At 31.5% G+C, this 24,833-nt stretch overlaps 1 long non-coding RNA gene and 1 other non-coding gene across 3 annotated transcripts in view, besides 1 other annotated feature; one reads left to right on the top strand and one right to left on the bottom strand.

The window, feature by feature from the left end:
* The window catches only part of LOC105370214 (uncharacterized), a 477,307-nt gene that overhangs the window by 162,988 nt on the left and 289,486 nt on the right, over positions 1-24,833 (top strand). The window lies entirely within an intron of this gene.
* Positions 8,459-9,658: an enhancer, noted in NCBI's record as "MED14-independent group 3 enhancer chr13:57137111-57138310 (GRCh37/hg19 assembly coordinates)". NCBI's record gives its function as "activates an origin of replication core promoter dependent on BRD2, BRD4, P300/CBP and CDK7 cofactors, and independent of MED14, by STARR-seq in HCT116 cells {active_cell/tissue: HCT116}" and the evidence as "EXISTENCE:reporter gene assay evidence [ECO:0000049][PMID:35650434]".
* On the bottom strand, positions 12,910-13,011 carry LOC124903268 (small nucleolar RNA U13). The gene has a single exon (XR_007063967.1). It is a non-coding gene; the product is annotated as a small nucleolar RNA U13 (small nucleolar RNA).

The following is a 24,833-nucleotide window of genomic DNA, read 5'->3' as shown; positions in this document are numbered from 1 at the left end:
TGCCAGTGAATTTATCTCTGAAGCTTTAAAGTGTAAAAAGCCACAATGGTGATTATTATTGGCAGGTTAGCAATGGAAAGAGAGCATAATGTAGTTTTTTGATAAAGATAATATTCTGTCTTTTAATGTTAAATGCTGTATATTTTCTGTAGGAATGCATATATTCTGTATGAATAACAACATCAATAATTCACATTTTTAAGCAAAACTGCTTGTAAAGGAGAGAGACTTCATTACCAAAAGAGCCCTAGTTAAGGAAAAATTAAAGGGAGATTTTTAAGAGAGAAAGATTATTCTAGATGAAAGCACATAGATTAAGGGAGAATCTATCTCAGGAAGCCATGATAGAAGAAAATTTTATGTATTTGAAAATAGAGCAAACATTAATCTTAACTGGGAAATGTTAGTACATTTCCTGTGACTTAAACAACGAGAAAACAATGCCCACTCTTCCTGTGTCAAAATTAGACTGGAGTTCTAGCCAGTTTATAATACAAGAAGTAGAAATAAGTATATGAAATATGTTAAAAAGTTAGTTTCACAGTGTTTTATTACTTCTGCTCATGAAAATATATGATTAGAAAAGTAAAAATTTAAGTCAGAGATTAGGCAAGAATAATCTAAAAACACATCTTACAAAGAAATCCTACAAATTAATTGTAAAAAGATACCACAATATAAAAGTAAATAAAAACATGGAAGATGCATTTCAAAAGAAGAATATTCAACTAAATAACAAATATGTGAAATAGAAAATATAAATTTAAAGCACAATGAGATAATATTTTACAAGCATCAGAACGGCTAAATTTAACACACACACACAAACACACACACAGTACTATTTGTAGTATAAATTTGTATTATCTATTGAAACTGAACACTTGCATCCTTTACTATCAATTTTATTTAAAAGTATGCCTCGAATTATAATGTGTGCATGTGTCCAACAAGATGTGTACTAGTATATTCTTGGCACCATAATTCTTAATAGCCAAAAACTGGAAAAAACTTTTATGTTCAGAAACATGGATATAAAACTGTAGTATATTCATATAATAGAATACCACACAGCAATGAAAATGAAAGAACTATAAGAATCAATAAACTATAGGTTCATGAAAAACAGAGATTGATATAGCAAATATAATGGTGAATGAAAGAAAACTGACACAAAAGCATACATGCTTTTGGATGCCATTTATGTAACATTCAAATGTTGTAACAATGGTTTTCTTTGAATAGAATTGTTGTGATATTGAGAAGAGTGATTTACAAGGGAACCATTGTGGGTTACTTGTAATTTCCTATTTCTTAATCAGGATGATTACTACACATGTCTATTCACTTTTTGGTAATTCTCTCATGTTTAAATTAAAGCTTTCGCTTTTTATCTCAATTTTATTGGCTCTTTGGACAGCATTTTTCCTCTTGGAAGCTATCTCTGCCTGTGCACTGGATAGATTTCCCAATATTTGCTGCACAAGTGTTTTGGGAATTCTCTGCACCTTTGCACTCATTATTTATTTTGTTTCTTTTCTAGATTGAAACCTTTTTTTCTGAATCCAGTGCCTTCTGCTATATTAGTTCTTTCCCTTATTTAACAATGTCCACATTATCTAACAGCATCCTTTAATTTAGTGCATGGGATATAAACTTTTCTGAGATTTTACATTCTTAAAATAACTTTAATCAATTACATAATATAGATATTTACCTTTATTTAGAATTTCAGGCTGTGAATATAATAGTACCCAAATTATGAAGTGTCATTCTACTGAATTTTCAGTGTCACTCGTTCTTAAAAACGTCATGTATTTTTCACTTCAAAAATTTTAATGTCATCTTTATTATATTCTTCACCTAGATTTTTGACTTTCAATGCCATTAACCAAATAAAACAATGTTCATCCTTAGTGTGCTTTAACTACTCAATAACCTCACTTTCATTGGTTATTTCTTTAGTGATTGTTTTTGTAAGTGATTTAATAAGGAAACTCATGTTTATCACTCACATAAAATAAATTTGCTTTATATTTTCATTATTTCTTCACCTCAATTTCTTCTTAATATTATCCTGGAGGCACTGTATTGTATGATGTTCAATTTTCTCGACTGGATTGATTCTCTAAGAGGATTATCTTTTTCCAGATTGTATATTTATTTTCTGCTTGGGGATTTGTTTAAAATTAGCTTTAAACTCTTCCATTGACATCCCCCACTGGCCACCATCACACCATGTTTAATACATAGGAACTCAGACAGTCTAAAAAAGAATGATACAGTTAATTAATGAATGTAGTATTTTATATTACATCTAAAATAATGTATATTTCTGCCTTATTCCATTTTGTGTTGCTATAATTCAATCTCTGAGGCCGGGTAATTTATAAAGAAATGAGATTATTTATCTCATGTTCTGCAGGCTGAGAAGTTCAAGGGCATTACCCTGGTTTCCAGAAAGGACTTTTGTGCTCCATCTTAATATGGCAGAGAAGGTCAAAGGGGAAGCAGACATGAGCAGAAACAAATCCAAGGAGCATACTGGCTTTGTAGCAAACCACTCTTGAGGGAATGAATTTATTCCCATGGGAACTAATTTAGTCTCTCTAGAACAAGAACTTAATACTGCCACATTGGGAATCAGATTTCCACATGAGTTTTGGTAAGAACAAACCATAACAATTTTGAAACCTTTTCTTTATGTGCTATGAAATTTATCCCAAGACATTTATTTATTTATTTATTTATTTATTTATTTATTTATTTATTTATTATATCTCTGTGGCATCTTAGGTAAACACCCAAATAGCTGGTGAGCTTAGACTGCCTATTAATATTTAACAAGGAAAAATTGTTTAAAATATCAATATTTGCAGGGCCGGTGAGTTTCCTCAGAAAGATATCTTCAGATAACTTTTCCTTGGATAGTATTTCCTAAGTATTTATGAGACATTTTTCAAAATCTCCATGCAACTACCACCCCAAATATCTGACATATGTCAAAAATGTTACCTAAACTTATTGTTTACAATTTCTTTTCTCCTATTTTTTTTTTTTTTTTTTTGAGATGGAGTGTTGCTTCTTTGACCAGGCAGGAGTGCAGTGGTGCAATCTCAGCTCACTGCAACCTCCACCTCCTGCGTTCAAGTGACTCTCCTGTATCAGCCTCTTGAGTAGCTGGGAGTACAGGTACCTGCCACCACGCCCGGCTAATTTTTGTGTTTTTAGTAGAGACAGGGTTTCACCATATTGGTCAGGCTGGTCTTGAACTCCTGACCTCAGGTGATCCACCCACCTCGCCCTCCCAAAGTGCTGGGATTACAGGAGTGAGCCACCGCACCCAGCCTCTTTTCTCCTCTTCTCTATTGACACCATTACATAGGTGTCAATGGACACCTATGTAATGTAACCTTTTTAAAATCTCATAAGATTTACACATCAGTGAGTTTTAGCAAAGCATTAAAGAGCAGATAATTTCCCTTTTGTGTACGCTGTTTGTGACCATAGGAAATAATTTGAATGAATTTACCCGTCAATGTAGTAAGCTAATATACAATAAAGCACAAATACACACACACACGCACACAGAGACTATAAACTTTAAACATAAATACAATGTGAAACTATTTAAAAATCCAATTAAACATCAGACAATAAAGTTTGTAAATATAAGCTGGACACATCATTACTAAATGCATTTTTGCTTATCAATGCAAGAATAGTTTAACATCAGCAACTATATTAATGCAAATCTGGATAGAAACAAAAAACGAGAATTTTAATATATTAACAAAGTAAGAGACATAATTAATTACCTTGAAGCCATATGCTGAGTAGTAAACCATTTGAAATGAAACATTACCATTCAAACTCAGAATAAAACAAGATTAAAGTTACCATTTAATATTTTATTTAAAGTTCCAGTCACTTTTGTGAAAGTTCTAGCCAAATTAAGTGTGTATTATTTGAAGAAATATGTTATGGCCTATTTGGTAATCTCAAATGAGTAAACTGACAAGCCATTTGAATTAATCAGAGTTTTGTGAAAGATGGCTACATGTAAGATCAATGTTAAAATTAATTTTCTAAATAGCAATGCTGCAGAAACTTCTAATTTCTTCTAACTAGCTTTATTACCTTCTTTAGACACATGCAGCCTCATTTTAGTGTAGTACTTGCTACTATGATTTAGAGACATTTTAAGTCCTATTTGTCAATAGTTGTGGCCAAGTGGCTAATTTATGACTAATGAGCTATGAATAGAAGATCAGTGGGTGATATCAGAAAAATTCTTTAAATAAGAGGACACATGCTCTTTTTTGCCTTCTTCCATGCTTGCTCTCGGGAATGAAATGGTTGGGCCCTGCAGAAACCAAAATTTTCCTTGAAATAACCTTGAGAATGAAACATACAGATAGTAGAGAGATAATACAGAATAACCGATGCAGGGTTTCTGTTGAACTCTTGGAAATATCAGCTATGGAATGCCTACCTTTGGAATTATTTTACATGTTTGAAACATGAATGGCTTTCTTTGTTAAACCACTAATTTTTTCAGTCCTCATTTTGGAAATCTAAAATTAATCAAAACAATTAAAATATCCACACAGTATAATTAGAAAAGTTAATTAATAAATTCACTTCACAACAGAAATTTATATTAGAGTAGAATAAGATCTGGGAATAGAATATGGGTAATTTTGCTTATTAGTTCATACGACCTAACACAATTTTTACAGTTGCTTTTATACTTTTAGAGACCATTTTGTCTGAGCGATCTATTCTGTACATTTGTTAACCATATTATTGAGAGACTAAAATTTTTTAAATGTATTGGAGTCTGACATCTAAATCCTGAACATATTAATTATTAAAGGTATATCTTAATTCTATTTTGAGAAAGGTCTATACTTCATGTGCTTTTTATTGTGGTTTTAATGAAATTAAAAGGCTTGTTGGGTTACATAACCTCTTAATATTCTATTATTATCATACTGGTTCAATGAGAGAATACTTACCTTATACTAAAGGATGTTGACATAAAACCAGAAAAAGCTTTATAAACAAGGTACTACAAACCTCCCTTTACTGAAGAGTACTGAACAGAAAGTCATTAATTGGCGCCTCTGAAAATCTAAATTATTTCATATTCTTTTGGTTAATTCAGATGGAAACCGTGTGCAGAAAGGGGCAGGATAAATGATGTGGATCACTGAAGAGAAATGTTAGAAACATTCCACCCACTCAATTGACCCAATCAATCTTGCCCTAAATCATCTGAGAAATGAATTCTTCCTCTGTAATTCTTCATCATCCAAATAAATGCAAATATCTGGAAAAAAGCTTTATAGTCCAATCATAGAATGTTAGTTTTTTGAAAATATTTTGCTATCTTTAGAAATTGATAACAAACATATTTACTTTTGACACTTCTCAAACAAGAAAAGCTAGATCACACTATAATAGTTGCTAAATATTGCATAGAAGTTAACTGCTACATTCAAATATAAGAAAGTGAATACTACTAATTTCAGCAAATACAGTTGAATGTTTTAATCAATAAGCTGGAAGAAAACTTTTCTGTATTTTAATTTCTATTAGAAACAAGTTATCTCTAATACAAAATTTCTTTTTGACGTCTTTGAAATTTGTATAGATACTTTCTTCTCTACATGTAAACACTATAATCTCTATATGTTTTTATTTATTCAATAGAACTTACTTAAAAATTACAAATAATTTTTAAAATAAGAACATAAATCAACATTAACATTGAAGAGAATAAACAATACCTTTGGAATTTTCATTAAAATGAATCTGGTTTTCAAAGAAATGATATGGCTTAAATAGATTTCTGCCACATTGCAATAGACTCCTATTGCTTGAAAAATGAAAAGAACAGAAGAATACGTAAGAAAATAAATGCTCAGCAAAATCTGAGCCTTTCATTGTTCAAGAAGAGTGTTTTTAATACAGTGTGGTAATGGAATGCTTTTGTCTTTCTTTGTCTAATGACAAATGCAATTTTAATTCTTTGGGTCTTTTGGGCTGCTAACTTGAAATGTCATTTAATTATTTCATTATTAATTTATATTTTTGGTCATCTAATAGACTGTGACATTCTTGAAGATAGGAACGTCTTAATCATCTTTGTTTGCCTAGGAGCTATCACTGTGCCTGGAGCTTAAGATCAACCAATATAATTTACCATTTGAATACTAATGAATAAATTAATTACTAAAAGTGAAACTATTATTAGTGAAAAAACAGTTGAAGTTAATAGTTAATAGTATTTTACCAATGTTATTGTTTTTAAAAATTTATAAATGGACCATGTAGGGTACAGTGTAAGCAGTAGGAGAATCTTTGTGAAGAGTATACGAAAACCTTCTGTAATCTTTCATCAACTTTTTTTTTTTTTTTTTTTTTAAGGAGTCTCACTCTGTTGCCAGGCTGGAGTTCAGTGCTGTGATCTCGGCTCACTGCAACCTCCACCTCCTGGGTTCAAGTGATTCTCCTGCCTCAGCCTCCCTAGTAGCTATTTCAAAGTATTAATAAATTAAATAAATTAGGAAGATATTTGAACAATGCTCTTATTTTTTCCATTTCATATCGAAATTCAAAGTATTTAGGAAAGCCAAAACAACTTTTCAAGAAAAACAACGTTTGATGACGTATTCTAACTTATTTGAAGGTTTATTATAAAAAATACATTTATCAGGACAGTATGTCTACAAATAAAGATAAGTTGATCAATGTATCAAAATAGAGAAAATACAGATATAAACCCACTGATTTTTGACAAAAATTTCATAGCAATTTAGGGGATAAATAACAGACTTTTAAAGAAATGTTGCTGGGCAATTTGATACTTATCTGCAAAAAATTTTGAAGTTTGATCTTGTAGACCTATATGTACAAACTAAATGTATAAAATTTCAGGGCAAAACTAAGTATTTGTGCTTTGAAGTTAGACAAAGCTTTCTTATATAAGATACCAAAAGCATGATTTATAAAATAAAATAATGATAAATTGGATTTAATCAAAATTTCAAATTCTCCTCATGAAAAGATACTATGAATAGAATGAAAAAAAATCAACAACAGACTGAGAGATTCCATTTACATATTATAATTTGAAAAAAAAGATTTGCATGTAGAGCAAGGGTCGACAAACCTTAAATAGCCAAATAGCAAATATTTTAGTTTGCAGATCTGACAGTCTCTGTGGAATCTCCTCCGTTCTGTTATTGCAGCATGAAGGCAGCTTTAGACAATATAAACATGAGTGAGCTTAGCTGTTTCTGATTAAACTTTAGATACAGAAACAGGTGGTGTGCTGGATTTGGCTTATGCATGATAGTTTGTCTACCTGTGATGTAAATATGAATAATTCACAAAACTAAATAATAAGCAAATAAACAATGCAATAAAAAATAGGTGAAAAAAATTAACAAACAGTCCACCAGAGAGGATTATAAAGCTATTTTTGTTATAGTGATTGAATTAAACACAGGATAAATGCCCTTTCTTGTTCTCTACACCCCTGAGAGGAAATGTCCCTAATTTATTTTTTATTTGAAATCTCTCTCTTCCCTAATTCTACTCAACTTAATGTCAGGAAGCTTAATTATAAATACTCAAATTTTCCAATAAAAAGCCATTTATCTTAACAATATTAGGTATATATTTCTTAACTGGGAATAAATTTAAGTTTCGTGCACTGGCTTACACATGATGTATAATAACTGAACTATTTATGCCAATCCAATGATTAAGATTTCTTATATAAAATAGATATAAAAACAAAAATGTTTTTATGTGTTGAGGTCAAAGAATTTTTATTTATTACATTTGTAGGCATTTTTTGTAATAACATTTATGTTTTCCATTTATAATGATGAAAATCAGAAAACCATTCTGAAATAATAGATTTATCTTTGAAACCTAAAAAGTATGTAGTTTTTTGTTTTTTTTTTTAATATGAGTGGAAACTATCTTCAAGTATGGAAGTTATGAAACCCATTTTATGACTTTTTATAACACTTTATAATACATTTCCAAATGTGTTGTTTGGAAATTACATATTGGTATATGTGAAAAAGCAGGAAATACATACAGAACATTCCTGCCTTATCACCTAGAAAAAGTCTATGCTACAGTGATTTTGTCATTGATTACATAGTCATTCAATATAAATCTGTTTACTTCTTTAATGATTTTATATTTTTCAGCCATAGATACATTTTAGCCTCAATGAGTTAAAAACTTACACAAATACATGTTTAATTCAAGATTAATAAATATTTGTTTTTCAAAACCACCATTTTCTATGCTCTTCTGTGAGTCTCATAATAATCCAGTGAGATAGGCAGACAATAAATAATCTCTAGCTTAACAATAAGAAAGATGCCAAGGATGTTGCACCAATTGATCTGCTCAATGTTCAATTGGTAATAATCAACACAGCCAGAATTTGAGATGTCCTGTGTGGCTATAAAATCTCTGTATTTTGCCCATTATTCTCTGATGGTTTAGCAGTTACTATGATGGCATTAAAATATGGCCTCAATGTCTTTGGTTCTCCTCCTTTAAAGAGGTGGAATCTCAGTGACTTGGTTCTAAGGAGTAGGAAAAAAAAAAAAACATCAAAAGCACGAGAGTACAACTTAGGAGTCTAAGTCTGGATTACTTACTCAGGGAAGCCAGCTGCTGTGTCATGAGAGTACTATGTGATGAAGAACTGAGGCCTCCACCCAACAGCGAGGCCTCCACCCAACAGCCACGTGCGTGAGCTGTTGTGGAAGCTCATCCTCCAGTCCTGGGAGCAGCTTTCAGGTATCAGCAGCCCTAGTTGACATCCTAATTACAACCTCATCAGAGTCCCTGAGCCAGAACCACTCCACTAATTCACCTTGAATTCCTGGGCTTAAAAAATTGTGAGATGTATGTTTTAAGCTGTTATTCTAGGTTAATTTATTATGCATAAATAGATAACTAATAGTTACCTTCTCAGACTTCTTCCCAGTACTGATGCCTTTGCTGATTAGAACAGTTTCAAGAACCATTAATGTGTTTTCAACAATCTGTTTCTTCTTCCTTTTGATGACCAATCGGTGCAATTTCTAATGGAAGATAATGTCAAAGGTTCATATATGTGTAGATAGATAGATAGATAGATAGATAGATAGATAGATAGATAGATATGATTTCACTCTAGATTCCACTTTAGAATTGGTCTTTGCTTCTCTGAAGAACAATGTTTGGACTATCACGATATACTTGAAAGTCAATAAAACAGACCAAACAGTTTACCTCTTTGAATTAGAACTCAAAGAAAAACAGCAAATGGCATGTCTTAGTCATGGAATTCTGCTTTATGGATTATGCTGTTAGAGCTGTAGATTAGAAGAAAACTAGGTCTCAATTCCAGTAAACATGCTGAAATAAGTAGAAATAAGTATACAAATAAAAATTTTCTCTAATATGTTTTATATTTCTGACCAGTTTTTATAGGAAGGATAAGCCAAATCATTGAATTTTTTTCAATTTATTAATTTTAAAAACACTGAATGACGTAACCTGTAATATGAAGAAAAGGGAATAGATATAAATATTTAAAATAAGGAGGTGGTATTATGGTATATCAAATAATACCTTAATGGATTATTATGCAGATGTTAAAATTATAATGGAAAATATTAGCCACAAGATGAAATGTGTGAAAATTATGTCAAATGAATAAGATGAAAATAAAATTGTGACTATATTGATTATAGTCATGTAAATATTATATACAAATATAAATAAGAACAAAAAATAAAATTAGAAGAAATGATTTATTGGAGTAATAGAAAACTAAGTAAATACAGTTTGCTTCTTAAGAAAGCCGGATTTTAAAAAAAAATAGAAAAATCTCTTTGGCAGTCCAACAAAAACATAAAGTTATTTATAAGGAAAACAAAATGAGGTTATCATCAAACTCAACAGCATGTTTAATTCCAGAACTAAATGAAATAACACATTAGTGACACTCCCATAAAGAAAAGTAAGCAAAGGAAAAGTAAGATAATAGTATTATATTGAGCCAAATTTACTCTCAAATATAAAAGCCACAAACTGTTATAATGCAAAGACAAAGTAAGATAAATGTATTATATCTAGCCAAATTTACTCTCAAATATAGAAGCCACAAACTGTTACAATACTTCGAGAGCTAAGAAATTGCTTTCTCCATGAGCTCTTTCTTATGCATTAACTAGGCCATGAATTGCAGACAACCACAACAATCAGTATAAACATCAATATAAATACTGCCTTTTATTTTTATATAAATATAAAAATATTACGTAATAAATAGTTCAATTCTACCACTTTTGATATTCTTCAAAACATATGTATTTAATGTGGAAAAAAAGAAGACAAAAATTTAGCAGAGATAACGTATACATCTCAGTCTTCAATTTAAATCAGGCATAACACTATGAATTCACGGAGGGCATGTTATCTGCCTTTTTTTTTTTTTTTTTTTTTTTTTTCTGTCGCCCAGGCTGGAGTGCAGTGGCGCGGTCTTGGCTCACTGCAAGCTACGCCTCCCGGGTTCACGCCATTCTCCTGCCTCAGCCTCCCAAGTAGCTGGGACTACAGGCGCCCGCCACCACACCTGGCTAATTTTTTCGTATTTTTAGTAGGGTTTTACCGTGTTAGTCAGGATGGTCTCAATCTCCTGACCTCGTGATCTGCCCACCTCGGCCTCCCAGAGTGCTGGGATTACAGGCGTGAGCCACTGTGCCCGGCCTTATCTGCCTTTCTGCTAATCTAGCCATCCATCCACACTTCAATCCACTTATTCACTCTAACTCTGTCAAATGGAAAGATGTAGAAATAACAACAGACCCAGTTAATAATGCATATTCATATTGCCCAAATTCTGGTCTTGAAATACCCTTCCTCACACTCCCGCCCCTGCCACATATACACAAACCAGAACTAGAAATGTCTCATTCCAGATCTGGGATGGAAAATGTGTAGGAAGTGTCTGAAACATTTTAGCAACTATCAGGGACTGCAATGGGGCATGTCAAAAGAACTCAGAAGACATAGGAGCCACCCACTGGAGAGACAGGAGCATTTCTGCTTCAATAAAAACAACAATGGATTAAAACACTTCAAATATATTTTGTATAACTGTGAGTTCAAATACTAATAAAAAATTAATTGAAACTTTTCAACAAATTAGCCAAATTTGGAGGGTCATAAAGAAATAATTCCGTTTTTAAAATAAATTAAGAAGAGCAAAAAAATAAATCTTTTAGCCTATTAGTCCTGTGCAAACTTCTCTGAGATAGAAAACATTAGATTAAAAAAAATTTTTACTCATATAAAAAATTTTACTAATAAAAAAGGAGAAATGATATAATAAAATATCACTAATTAATTAATATATCTAGGCAATAAGCACAATCAATAGATAACATCACCAAAAGTGGCAACCAGACACAGTATGCCTCTTGCTTGAGGAATGTAATGAACAGTCTTGCCAAAAGGTGAAGAAAAGATTTATTTTTATCTATATAAAACTAGTACAGATTCATATATATAGATAAGTTTTTATATATAAACTTCCTATATCTATTTATATACTTATATATATCAATCTATATATAGATTGATATATTTATATAGCTAGACATATTTATTTGTTTAAGGATTAGCTACATATTTATGTATTGACTCTGTAAATCCCCTATATTAAACAATCAATTGATAGAAAATACAGAGGGCAGAGAAATATGTTAAAATATTCCTTGGGAATATGTGAAAATTATAGAATCTTAAATACTTTACAAGTAAAATGGCCCAGTTATATTGTGAAATATAAGATTGCAGGAAAATAATAATTTATGGATTGGACCTGTAATAAAGAATACTTAAGATATATAACCATACTCACAAAAAGTTAAAATCAAACCTAGTATTTCAGAATACTTCTTGAGTTATTAAACTGTGAAGTAAAGCAGAGCATGATTACCATTAAATATGTACAATGGTTACAGCAGGGCTGTGAGGTTTTGATTGAGATCAGGCACATTGAGAGGTTCAATAATGTCTGGAAAGACTATTTATTGATAAAAGTGGTAGTTACTAGTTGAACACATAACAATTTATTAAGTTGATCATATGTTTTAATCTTTCTCTGTGCTATATTTTACAATAAAAGAGTTTTTCATCAATAGCACTCAAGGAAGTAAATTGTAGAGCTCAGAGAATCTTTAGTAAAGCTGATGATCCAAGCTTAAAAATGAGATGAACCTTAAGATTCTTGGTATTTCAAACCTTAGCCAATAACACATCACAGGAACTGTCAGCTCAGGACACTGCTGCAATGGAACTGCCATTGTCATTGTCACTGTCACAAAGCTGCTTGACAATAGAGTCCATGGCTAGCCTTGCTGACACTCTTTTTGTTGGCACTCTCTCTAGATTTAGAATCCTTGGTAGCAAAGTCCGATTGGTCAAGCCTGCATCACAGCCTGTGTACATTATAGTTTCTAGGGGAGAGTAAAAATTAACATCTATTCTTCTGAGATGTTATCTTCTGATGTAGAATTCAGCCCTGCCTCCCTTGAATATTTACCCTGTGAAAAAATCCTCTATTTGAGTAATGAGTATAAAGTTTTGGCTCCAATATCTACATCAGGAGACAGATCAGTTTTCATCCATTTTCTGTTACTTATTAAAACAATCCTGGAAACTGGGTAATTTATTTAAAAAGGAATTTATTTCTTACGGTTTTGGAGACTGAGAATTCTAAGATTGAGGGGCTGGATCTGGTGAGAGCCTTCTTACTGGTGGAAACTCTCTGTGGTGTCTGAGCTTTTATTTCATTTTATCTTTTCTTTTTCACATCAGACAGGTAATGTACTGATATCATAGCAAGGATTGAGGGAGCCAGATCTCATATAAGCTTGAAAAGACAATAGTCATGTTTCTGAACTACAAATGGATCTCAGCATGAGTTATAGAGAACATTCAAGCCATAGCAAGAGCTAACAACTTCTATCTCTGTGTGGTTTATTAAACTAGTTTTAAAGGAAATAGAGAAATTATATAGAAGTGTAATAGTTTTAGAAGATGGATTTAGTGATATAATAGCAAATAACTAAAGGATTTTACTAATCTGGTGGCCATAGCTCTTTTATTGGGGAACTGAAGGTGTTGGATTAGATCAAGAGGAAAGCCAACGTTGGAGGAACACAAGATCAACACAAGTGGTGGTCCTCAGACAGAATAAAAAACGCAATGGAAAGGGTATCTGAGATGACACTAGGATGTAGGTAAAAGCCAACCCAAGGGCCTTGAAGTCTGCATTATGCTGACTCTTTTTTCTTTTCCTTTTTTTTTTTTTTTTTTTTTTTTTTGAGACTGAGCCTCTCTGTCGCCCAGGCTGGAGTGCAGTGGCATGATTTTGCAAACTCAGCCTCCAGGTTCAAGCGATTCTGCTGCCTCAGCTTTCAGAGTAACTGAGATTACAGGTGTGTGCCACCACGCCCAGCTAATGTATATATTTTCAGTAGAGATGGGGTTTCACCATGTTGGCCATGTTGGTCTTGAACTCCTGACCTCAAAAGATTCGCCTGCCTCAGTCTTGCAAAGTGCTGGGATTACAGACATAAGCTAGCATGCCCAGCCCATGCTGAATCAGTTTATGATTCATATTCTTTGTCATTAAATTCCCATAACTCACAGTTTATGATTAATGCATACTGAATGTAATCAAAGACCTTTTTAATATCTACTGGGATTATCAGGATGTTTTTCTTATTTGCTGATATGGGGTGTGTGTATGTGTATACATATGTAAACATATTTTCTAATGTTAATCAATCTGCAGAGTTCTGGGAAGTATCTGGTTCATAATAACATGTTATACTTTTAATATGTTGTTTCATTATGTTTGCTGGTATTTTATTTTGGATTTGGACATCTAATGTATTTATGACAAATTGTTTTAGAATTTTAAATATACTCATCAATTTCTGTTGACAAGTTTAGTCTAGTTTTATAAAACAAATTATCTCTATTTTCATATTTTCATCCTTCTATGAGCATTACATTTATGTGTCTATTCAAATTATATAAAAAGTCTACCTAAATAAAATAAATCTAGTTCCATCTTTAGTCTCTTCGCATTTCTGATCAGCCTTCTTCAGCTGTCCTTCAAATCTAAGTCTGTCTTCTCTTAGACCCATGTTTTTCTTGATTATCAATAAAATATAAGCCACTTGGATCATCTCTCCTCCTCCTGGAGGGTTCTCTATCTTCTCTCTGTAGTTCCTATCCCTGACACATACTATCACTCCCTTCCTGTATAATAATCTTTCCTCTTACTTCTGGGAGTTGATCAACAATTGCTTTAACAAATATCTCATTTATTCAAACCCATTATCCCAGAATGCTTCTTTGAATATTTTTTAATCATATTTTGTACTTAACTAAAATTTTTTGGGAGGTGATTGTCTATTTTATTTCTTTTTGTAGGGAATGGGGTCTTGCTATGTTGTCCAGGCAGGTCTCCAACTCCTGCGCTCAAGTTATGCTCCTGCCTCTACCTCTAAGTTCTGGGATTTCAGGTGTAAGCCACCATGCCTGGTCTTAACTAAAATTGGTATATCAACTGATAATATTGAATTCATTGAAGATGTCTTTTTATAAATGGTGTCTATCTCAGTGTAAGGAAATGGGATTATGTAATTTCACTTGCTTTCCAAAGTCATTTCTTTATTATTCTTCTACACTCTTGCTTTTTCTTTAAGTCTCTTCCTATCTATCTTGTCCGTCTTGTGTTGGTTAATATTGAGTGTCAATGTGATTGGATGAAGGATCCAAAGTATTGATCCTGGATGTGTCTGTGAGGCTGTTGCCAAAGGAGATGAACATTTGAGCCAGTGGACTGGGAAAGGCAGACCCACCCTTAATCTGGGTAGGCACCATCTAATCAACTACCAGCAAGGCTAGAACATAAAGTTCGCAGAAAAAATGTGAAAAGACTAGACTGGCCTAGCTTCCCAGCCTACATCTTTCTCCCATGCTGGATGCCCTCGAACATCAGACTCCAAGTTCTTCAGTTTTGGGACTTGGACTGGCTCTCCTTGCTCCTCAGCTTTCAGACAGCCTATTGTGGGACCTTGTGATTGTGTGAGTTAGTACAATAAACTTCCCTTTATAGATAGATAGATAGATAGATAGATAGATAGATAGATAGATAGTAGATAGATAGTAGATAGATGGATAGATAGATAATCCTATTAGTTCTGTCCCTCTAGAGAACACTAATACACCCCTCTTCTTACAATTAGTGTGTAACCCACTACCCTCTGAGAAAATCTCCCTTATTCCTGAACATTTTCTCTCTTGCATGTGATTTTCCTAACCAATTCAAATGCTGCCAAGATTCCAAATGACTTCATGATTTTTATGGACAACACATCCAATCCCCTAGTTACTCAGCTTGTTTACTTCCTCCAAATCCCATGTTTTACATGGCTTTACTGGTCTACAGTCACACGTTTTAACTTATCTCTTACAAGAAATAATTTTCCATTCTAAATTATTTTTCAAGCAGTCATTTTAACAGTCTTATTAAAATACTCCAATTACATATTTTCCTTGATATTTCTTCCTATTCATCTATCTTCTTTTTTATTCCTTTTCCTTCATAAATTCTTTATTCCATGATACATTGTATCATTTTCTCTTAATTAAGATATGCCACGATCCCTTAAGTTACACCTAATTGGCAAATCCTACAACCAATAGATGCAAATATTGTCATCCACATATATATACATAAAGATATTATTATTACAGTAGTATAAACAACACAAACTGTCAATGTTATAATCACTATAAATTTATTGCCTACAAGTGAGCTCAAATCTCCCAGGAAATATTTATTTATTAAGTCATCTCAATCTCTCTTTCTCACCATAGGACATGTAAACCCTTTCCTCTTTCTTTGCACCTGATCCATATAAGCCCCTTTCTCTATAAGTTCAAAAAGGAACAGTAGTCATATGGTATGAACTCTCAAATTTCCATCTACTTTGCTTAAAACTACTTGTTTCTTAAAACTATCATTTCTCCTGTAAACCCAGCACTTTGGGAGGATGAGGCTGGCAGATCACGAGGTCAAGAGATAAAGATTATCCTGGCCGACATGGTGAAACTCCGTCTATACTAAAAATACAAAAATTAGCTTGGCATGGTGGCACGCGCCTGTAGTCCCAGCTACTCTGGACGCTGAGACAGGAGAATCGCTTGAACCCGGGAGGCGGAGGTTTCAGTGAGCCGAGATCACGCCACTGTACTCCAGCCCGGCAAGAGAGCCAGACTCTGTCTCAAAAAAAAAATCAAAAAAACAAACAACAACCACCCCCCCCGCCCCCAAAAAAACCCTGGCATTTCTTACTTAGATCATGTAATAATAGTTGAATTCTCCACCTGTGTTTTTAATCTGATTCCTACCAGGTTTCTCAGGAAGATCATACTTTAAGTTATCTTCTTATCTTCATTTCTCTCTTCTTTGTTTGCACATTTTTCCTGCTCAACTGAATTTTTTTGCCACAGATATTTCCATTTGTTCCTTTTATTTTTTTCATTAAAAAAGTTAACCAACCAACCAACAAAACTCCAATGAAAGCATCATAAAAGTTTTCTGTCCTGTGGGTATCCAGAAGTAGTGGTTTAAAGTAGCTTTCTGTTCATCTTTTTACCAGGTGTCCATAATGTAGCCTTACAATTTCAACTTGCCTGCAATTGCAAAGGTTATTGATATGTTGCTAACTCCAGTATATACAATTTAGTGGTTATTTTACTTCACATTAAAGAAGAGTTTATTTCAGTAAACCAATCATTACTTTTTGGACTTCATCCTCTTCTGTTTCTTATGATGCTACATTAACATAGGTATCATTTAATTAAAATTAAAATATATGCATATAAAAATAAAGAAGACATTCAAATAAATAATTTGTTAAAATATTAATATGGTTACCTATGAAGGGAATAGAATGTGAGTAGTATATGTAATTAAAAGGGAAGATATGCACGGACACACACACACACACACACACACACACACATATATGATTAAAGAGACGCAGCTCAAAACAACTAATGATACTCATGTGCTGGGAACTGAGAGGTATGATTATTTCAACCTTCTGCACATAAAATACTAAAATGATTTCACATTGTCATATTAAATCAAATAGCTCTATATACAGTGATGATTACCACTTCCTAAAAATAAGTTAGTATGTCTTTCTGGAATGACTGTTTTTAAATATGCAATGAACCAAGCCAATTTTCTTAGTAAGTACGAAGTAACTTAGTTATTTAATTTTCAGAACAAATTCATTCCTGTAATTTTTAAATGTTAATGGCTAAATTTTAATATAGAGCAGAGATAGCTATGTCATGACTAATCTATCAGTTAAAGCATACTTATAATGCTCAAAATCTAAAAATCACTGATATAAATACATGAACACTATGCATTTAAACTTACGTAGTGTAGAAATTAAGAAGCAAAAATTGATTAATCATTATTTATAAATTTATCTTTAGGAATGAAATATGGAACTGAATTTAGTTAGTTGGAACCAGATGTTTTCCAACTTAGTGGCAAACTATAATGTAGATATTTTTTGAAAAATAAGCGAATTATTTAATGTCTTTTCCTGTTTTTTTCCTTGTAAAATGTTATGCTCAAATAACATTTGGGAAGTACTTTTGAGAAGTTTTGTTGTGTCATGGAAATCCTTTGATAAGACTCATTATGTTAACTGCCATACTAAAAACATAAATCAGGATCTTGGATTGATTATTTAAACAAACACTAAAAATTAGTCTAGTGTGACATTGAGAAGCTAGGAGTGAAGATATTTTATTGTTCCTGTTGAATCTTGTTGAAACTTTTATTCCCACTGTGAAATAAAATAAAACATTTACTTACTTCTCCATATCATTATTATTCTAAGATTTTTAATTTATTTATTCTTTAAATTAACCCAGTTCTCTTCCTTTTCTTCTCCACCTCCTTCTCCCCCTCCACCTTCTTATTTTTCTTCTTTTCATCTTACATGTGAGGAAAATTAATTATAGAAAAATTGTTACCCAAGTTTATATAATCAGTAAGTATGAGGTTAATATGAAGCCCTGGATCCAGAAAACACATATATATATAAAATATATATATATATTATATAATATATAATTATATATAATATATATTATATATTTATGTTGTATATATTATATATAATTATATATTATATATTATAATATATATATAAAACAACTACACTAGACTGTCTATTCCTACAGTGCAGAGACCAGAAAAAAAATATATGTTTATATATATATAATACACACACACACACACACACACACACATATACACATACATACAGACATGTAAATACACACACGTACATATATAAGCAATTCTATTTAATGGCATGCTAGAGAAATTTTACTTTTAATAAAAATGATGCCTTTAAGGTGAAAATAATTTATATAAATGTAAATTTATATATATGTTTTTATATATGTATATATTCAAAGAAAATGTGTCAGGGTGTGTGATGAGATGGTGATAAGAACAGAGGAAGTGTTAAAACAGAACTTGCAATTTTGTTTTGTCAGTTATCCTTACCCAATCTACAGGTGAGGTTTATATTATTATGTTTTTATTTAAGTGAATTATAGTTACACAAAAATTTCCTATCTCATGTAGTATGTCTTTAAACTGCAATAAAAACGAGCTAAGTTCAAATATTCATCTCAGGATTTAAAAAATTTGGAGTTCAATTCACACAAAACTCTATGAACATATACTCTTCATAATATAATAACTTAATGAACATTTTTCCAGTTTCATGATGGTTTTTTGGTAGGGTCCCAGGCTAGAGAAGGAGGAGAGCTTTATACACAAACATAACAGAATTTATTAGGTGAATGATCTCCAAAGAGCTTTTTCAGTGATGTTCACTTCATGTGCCAACACAAAGATAATGACAGATCTTGACTGTACTGCCTAAGCCAAATTGCTAGACTTTATTGAGTCTAAAAAAATGTCAGGTGACATTGTTTGATTATATAATATAGAAATAATCAAGTCACTTGCGCTGTGACTTAGCTCAAATATAAAATGATCAGATTTGATAAGGTCAGTTCCTGTATAGATTGATGTGGGTTACTAAGAAATCAATGGCAAAAGAATTATTGAGCAAGTTAATGAGTAATCAATGATGTTAGCCATGATATAGGACTTAAGCCAACCCAGAGTCAGATGGGAAATGTTCCAGACTCAACAACAATTGCAGTTTAAATTGACCAAAGTTTTAAATAACTGTCTGGTATACCTACCATCATTTATTTAATTTCCTCTAAGCATTTGACATAAAATGTGATATTGGATGATTACAAAGTGTTAATGTAAGCCAAATATAATTCTAAGGGCTTTATATGTATGTGGACAACTCTATGATGTAGGCACTATCATAATCACCATTTTTTAAAGAAGAGTTATGTTTTGAATTTATGTGTCTCTCTTCGTTTCTTCTACCTTAAATCAATTGTTGTTGATTGGAAAGTTGTCAGGAAAGTTGTAAGAAGCCGGTTTTAGTTTGGTACCTAATTTTTATTAATCTAACCTATTACCACAAAATTTTTTCAAGAATATAAGATGAAACCTAGGGGAAAAATAACTTATCTGATCTCCATATATCTATTTGTGGAGTATGTAGCTCCTGGTTTTAAAGAATATTTGCATGTACCAGAATATTCAGGCTTCATGAATATGATAAAAATAACTGCTTCTGTGGATATACATTTAAAGGCTATATTAATGGTTATCACAGTCTTACAAATGCTAAAGCACAGCTATGTTTTTTAAAAAGGAAATTATGTGGTCGCTTGGCTACACATTTAACCAAACATAGCAATTTTATGCAAAAAAATTGTCTATCTGTACTATAAAATGAATGCCTGAGAATTTTACCACAGTATAAAGTGAGACATTTGGCAATTGAATTAAAATCAGAAAAGGGTCAGTGTTTGCCCACATGACCCAGGAGAAATGGAAAGATTTCTTACCCAGAGCACAATTATTGCCCTAGCATTTCAAATTCAAGCATTATGTCTCTACTTATTGTCAGTGCATGTAAACATAAAAATATTGTAATTTTATATTTTTATGTTTTTGCTTGGTTTTTAAGTGGGGTATATAAATTTATAACAGGTACCAAAATCTGTGCCATATTCCAAGAGTCCAGTCAAGAAACTTTGCTCTTATTGTTTTTAACTTTTAGAAACCATAGCTTCTAGCTGAGAACAAAAGAAACACAGGATATTCTAAAGGGGAGCTGATTTTAGGATCACATTTATCAAACTTAATCAAGGTAAATTTATTGAAAAACAACAAATACCAAACATATTTTTCCAAATGGTAACTTGTATTTTATTTGTGTAAGTTTGCATGGGATTGGGAAAATAGTTCATTCTACTTAAAGCCAAAAAAATCTATCTTCGATGTTTATTTTGTTAGGCTTCTCTTAAAAATTGATGCAGTTGTACTGGTAGATTCAAGATCTATAATTGTATAGTAAAGTACCTCAAGAAATACATTTAAGCCTGCATGCAAACCACCTCTGCAGATGCAAATTGTAAATGTTGTAAGGTATTCTGGAGGTCAGGGAGTTTTTTTATTTAAATGGAATGTTACTACATTTAAATCTAAATGATTTTTTGACTAAGTCAATAAAACTTATGATAACATAAAGATTATGACTAAAATAAAGCACAATTTATGACATAAAAAATTAAAAGTAAAATTTTGACTTACGTATAAAGCTTTTTTTGAAATTATACTACTAAAAAACACATATTATAACATTTGTTCTCTTATTTTAGATAAATTTTTCTGACCTGAAAGCAAACATGTTTAATTATTTAAAACTCTATAAACATTATCTTAATAATAAATATATAATATTCTGTGATTGTTCTGGTGTTTATTGAGGTACATGTTCACATTTTTCACTAGAAATACACAGAATAAGAAAGGCAAAAAAAATCACTTCATTATGAAAGTAGTTTTACATTTTTTTATTACTTCAGTCAAAAAAATACAGAATTACATTGTGAAATTTCACTTTCTGAAGGAGCTACATTAATTTATAATTGCTTATATTGATTTCAGAATTCAATTTCTACATTCTACACATGCATTTAGTCATCTATAAATATAATACATAGAACAACATACAACATATTCTGGACATAATACATTATTCGTTCTCTAAAATCAGTTTATACTCAATGAATATTTTAAATTAAAATCTCTTAATTTAACAATCAATCATTTGTCTATATAATGGGATGGTTTTCTCTCTGAACTTTACCTAAGCGATAAGACAAATTTTAAAATGTACGATATTTATGATAAATTTATTATTGATATCAATACAAGATGGTATCTTCATCCTTAAAATTTACAGAAGAAAATCCTTGTAAATACAATCTAGTCTAAAATACATAAAAATTGAAAACACAGAAAAAAATTTCCTTTCCTGTAAATGGTTCCCAAAGTACTGTGCTGTAATAGTTTTCTTACCCAAATAAATGTATAATTTAGAAGAATTACAAATATATTTGACAAGCTCTAAGTAAGGTGTAGAAACCACAAACACTTCAATATTTATTGCAACTAAATAAGGATGCTTACAGTTCAGTGTTTCAGTGTTTTTACAAGAGTAGCATTGAAATTTTAGCTACTCATTTATGTTTTTTATTATTCATGTTACAATAATGTTGATTTCTCCTAAAAATTATTATAAAAACAGTGAGATGTTTTATTGATAGAGAATCTCTTTTATTTTTAAAAGCAGTGATGAATGTGGATCAATTCTAATATACTCGTTTTATCCTTTTTCTCTACTTTTTTAAATTGAAATATACACAAGGAAACAAAACATAATATAATGGATTTTTTTTTCATTTCTAGTGAATAAATATTAATATATAGCTGAGACTGTATTTATTTTGGACCAAAGCTATTTCCCATCTTAATTATGTATCTTTTGCAAAAACCACTATTCATTTGCAATCTCAACTGACTCCTGAATTATAAATTTTACTTCTTACAAAAGCAAGTCAGCTGTCTTTAACTTAAAACTGTAGGCCCATGTGTGTGAGATAGAAAATAAGAATTTCTATGGTAGATACATTATTTAATTAGTCTGGATATTTTGATAAATTTCTAATATGGTTTTAAGAATATTGAAATTCATTTTATTTTGAAAGAAAATTATCCTACCTTAGACATACTCATTCACAATGGCTACATACACACTACTGATACTAGAATTAATAAGCAATATAGTTGGATGGAAAGAGGCATAACGAAATAACTGCTTTACTTCATGGATGTGTGAATTTTGGTATAAATAAATAAAATAAATCAGGTCTTAGGATACTGCACAGTATAATAGTTCCAGTCGTCATTGTTTCCAGGAGATGGAAACAATAATTTGTGTTTACTAACTCAAGCTATAATGTCACAAAAAATTGCATTTCACAAGAAGCCAGAAAAACAGTGTGTATCATCATTGTTAAACATTTTATTTTATTGAAGTATCTTCAACACATTTTATGAGAAATAACAATGAATATAATTGAGTTGCATGATTAAAAATAAAACAGCACATGCTTTAACAGGGTAGTGATCTTATGAGTGAATATCATGAAAGTGTCAACCACTCATCTAATGAACATTAGTCCCACCCTTGCGTGGGTGTTCTTAGATGATTATCTCCCGAGACATTTTTTGCAACAATCACGAAGGAAATATATAATTTCTGAAATCAGTTACTCCCTAAAATTTTCTTTGATTACATTTTATAACAAATATTATGTTAACATTGTCATATTAATAAGTTTGTAAGTCAGCTTTGGTTTGTATCTCACTTACAGTTAATCATGCTATCTATGGCCTCCTTGTCTTTGCATTCTCATACAGGCACAGATCAATTCATTCCAAAAAAATGGTATTAAATTTAAGTTTAAAATTATATTTTTAATTTATACTCTATTATACATGGAAGGGATAATCGAATTTAACAAGTTAGGGATGGAAATGCAAATCAAATACCCTACTTAAAACTGAGGAAACATATATAAGGTAAGAACCTAGAATTTGGAGCCTCGCTTCAAATCTGAGCTCTATCCCTACTGACTGTGAGTTATTGGGAAAGTTAATCTCTCCAGCCCTCAATTACCCCACCTATACAATGAACAAAAAAAGAAGTAACTACCTGATATCCTTGTTATGAGGACTGATTGAGTTGTTATCATAAAGCATGTAGACACTGGCACATAATAGAGCTACATAGATTTTTGTTAAACAAACAAAGTTAAATTGATTTTTTAAATGCCAGTCATGCTTAATACATTAAGAATGAAGAGTATTGGGAATATGTCTGACATAAAAGGGGAATTGAAAAAGAAAAAATATTAAAAGAGAGGATATAGGAAAAATGCTGATGCAGGACACATAATGGAAGTGCTACCAATGACAGCAAAATAAAAATGCAAAATTAAGCAAACCCATCTATCTTATCTAATATTCAATCCCCATGATATCTTTATTTGGTAACATATAATTAGTTTTACAATTACACATTAAAATAAAATTTAAGTTTTTTAAAATTGACATTTCTTGACAATTTTACATTTATTAATATTCATTGTATACATTTTTGAAAATGCTAAGCAAAACAGTTAAAACTATATATAGAAGCATATTCAAGAAATAGAGATTTATATGGTAAAATCTATTTGTATATAAACAAGATCATGCTATAGCATTATATACTATATTATACTTTCCTACGTATTATAGTCTGTTTTCTATTTTTAATTTATGTATTTGGAATACCTATAATTTCAGTGCAAGTGCTTCTAAGATTTTTTTTAAGTTTGTTTCATTTGGATATATACCATCATTTTTAAAACTAACATTTTTAAATCAATCAGTAGTGCATTATCAACCAAGAGGGATTGCATATTATTGCACATGAGGTAAACCGAAAAGACCACCTAGCTATTTAAATTAATTAGGGAGATAAGCTCTATATTCAGGAAAATATACATTAAATAAAAGATAAGAAAATACTAACCATGATCTTAAGGACATTCTAACGTATTCCCCTAAAAATACTAGATGCCACAATATTGATGAGAGGTAACTGTTAAAGTTCTTCTTTAAAAAATAATAATAATAAATGTTTGTAATGCTAAAGAATCACATATTTTAAAAATATTCCTTGCCATAAAACCTAACCTATTTACCAGGAAGTTATATTTGCTGCTTTTAGAAAACTGCATAACACTCTCGGCCGCGCGCAGTTGCTCACACCTGTAATCCCGGCACTTTGGGAGGCCGAGGGGGGTGGATCACTTGATTCAAGTCAGGGATTCAAGACCAGCCTGGCCAGCATGGTGAAACCCTGTCTCTACTAAAAATACAAAAGAAAATTAGCCGGGCATGGTGGCGGGAGCCTGTAATCCCAGCTACTCAGGAGGCTGAGGCATGAGAATTGCTTGAACCCGGCAGGCGGAGGTTGCAGTGAGCCGAGATCACACCATTGCACTCCAGCCTGGGAAACAGAGTGAGACTTCATCTAAAAACACACACACACACTCTCTATGAACATGAAAGAAAATCAGAGATACAATCTGGCTGTCAATATTTCTGATTGACA

This window comes from Homo sapiens, chromosome 13 (assembly GCF_000001405.40).
Source record: "Homo sapiens chromosome 13, GRCh38.p14 Primary Assembly".
Classification (NCBI taxonomy): Eukaryota; Metazoa; Chordata; class Mammalia; order Primates; family Hominidae; genus Homo; species Homo sapiens.
Note: the sequence above shows the minus strand (reverse complement) of the source record. Positions and strands in the feature narration are given on the sequence as shown.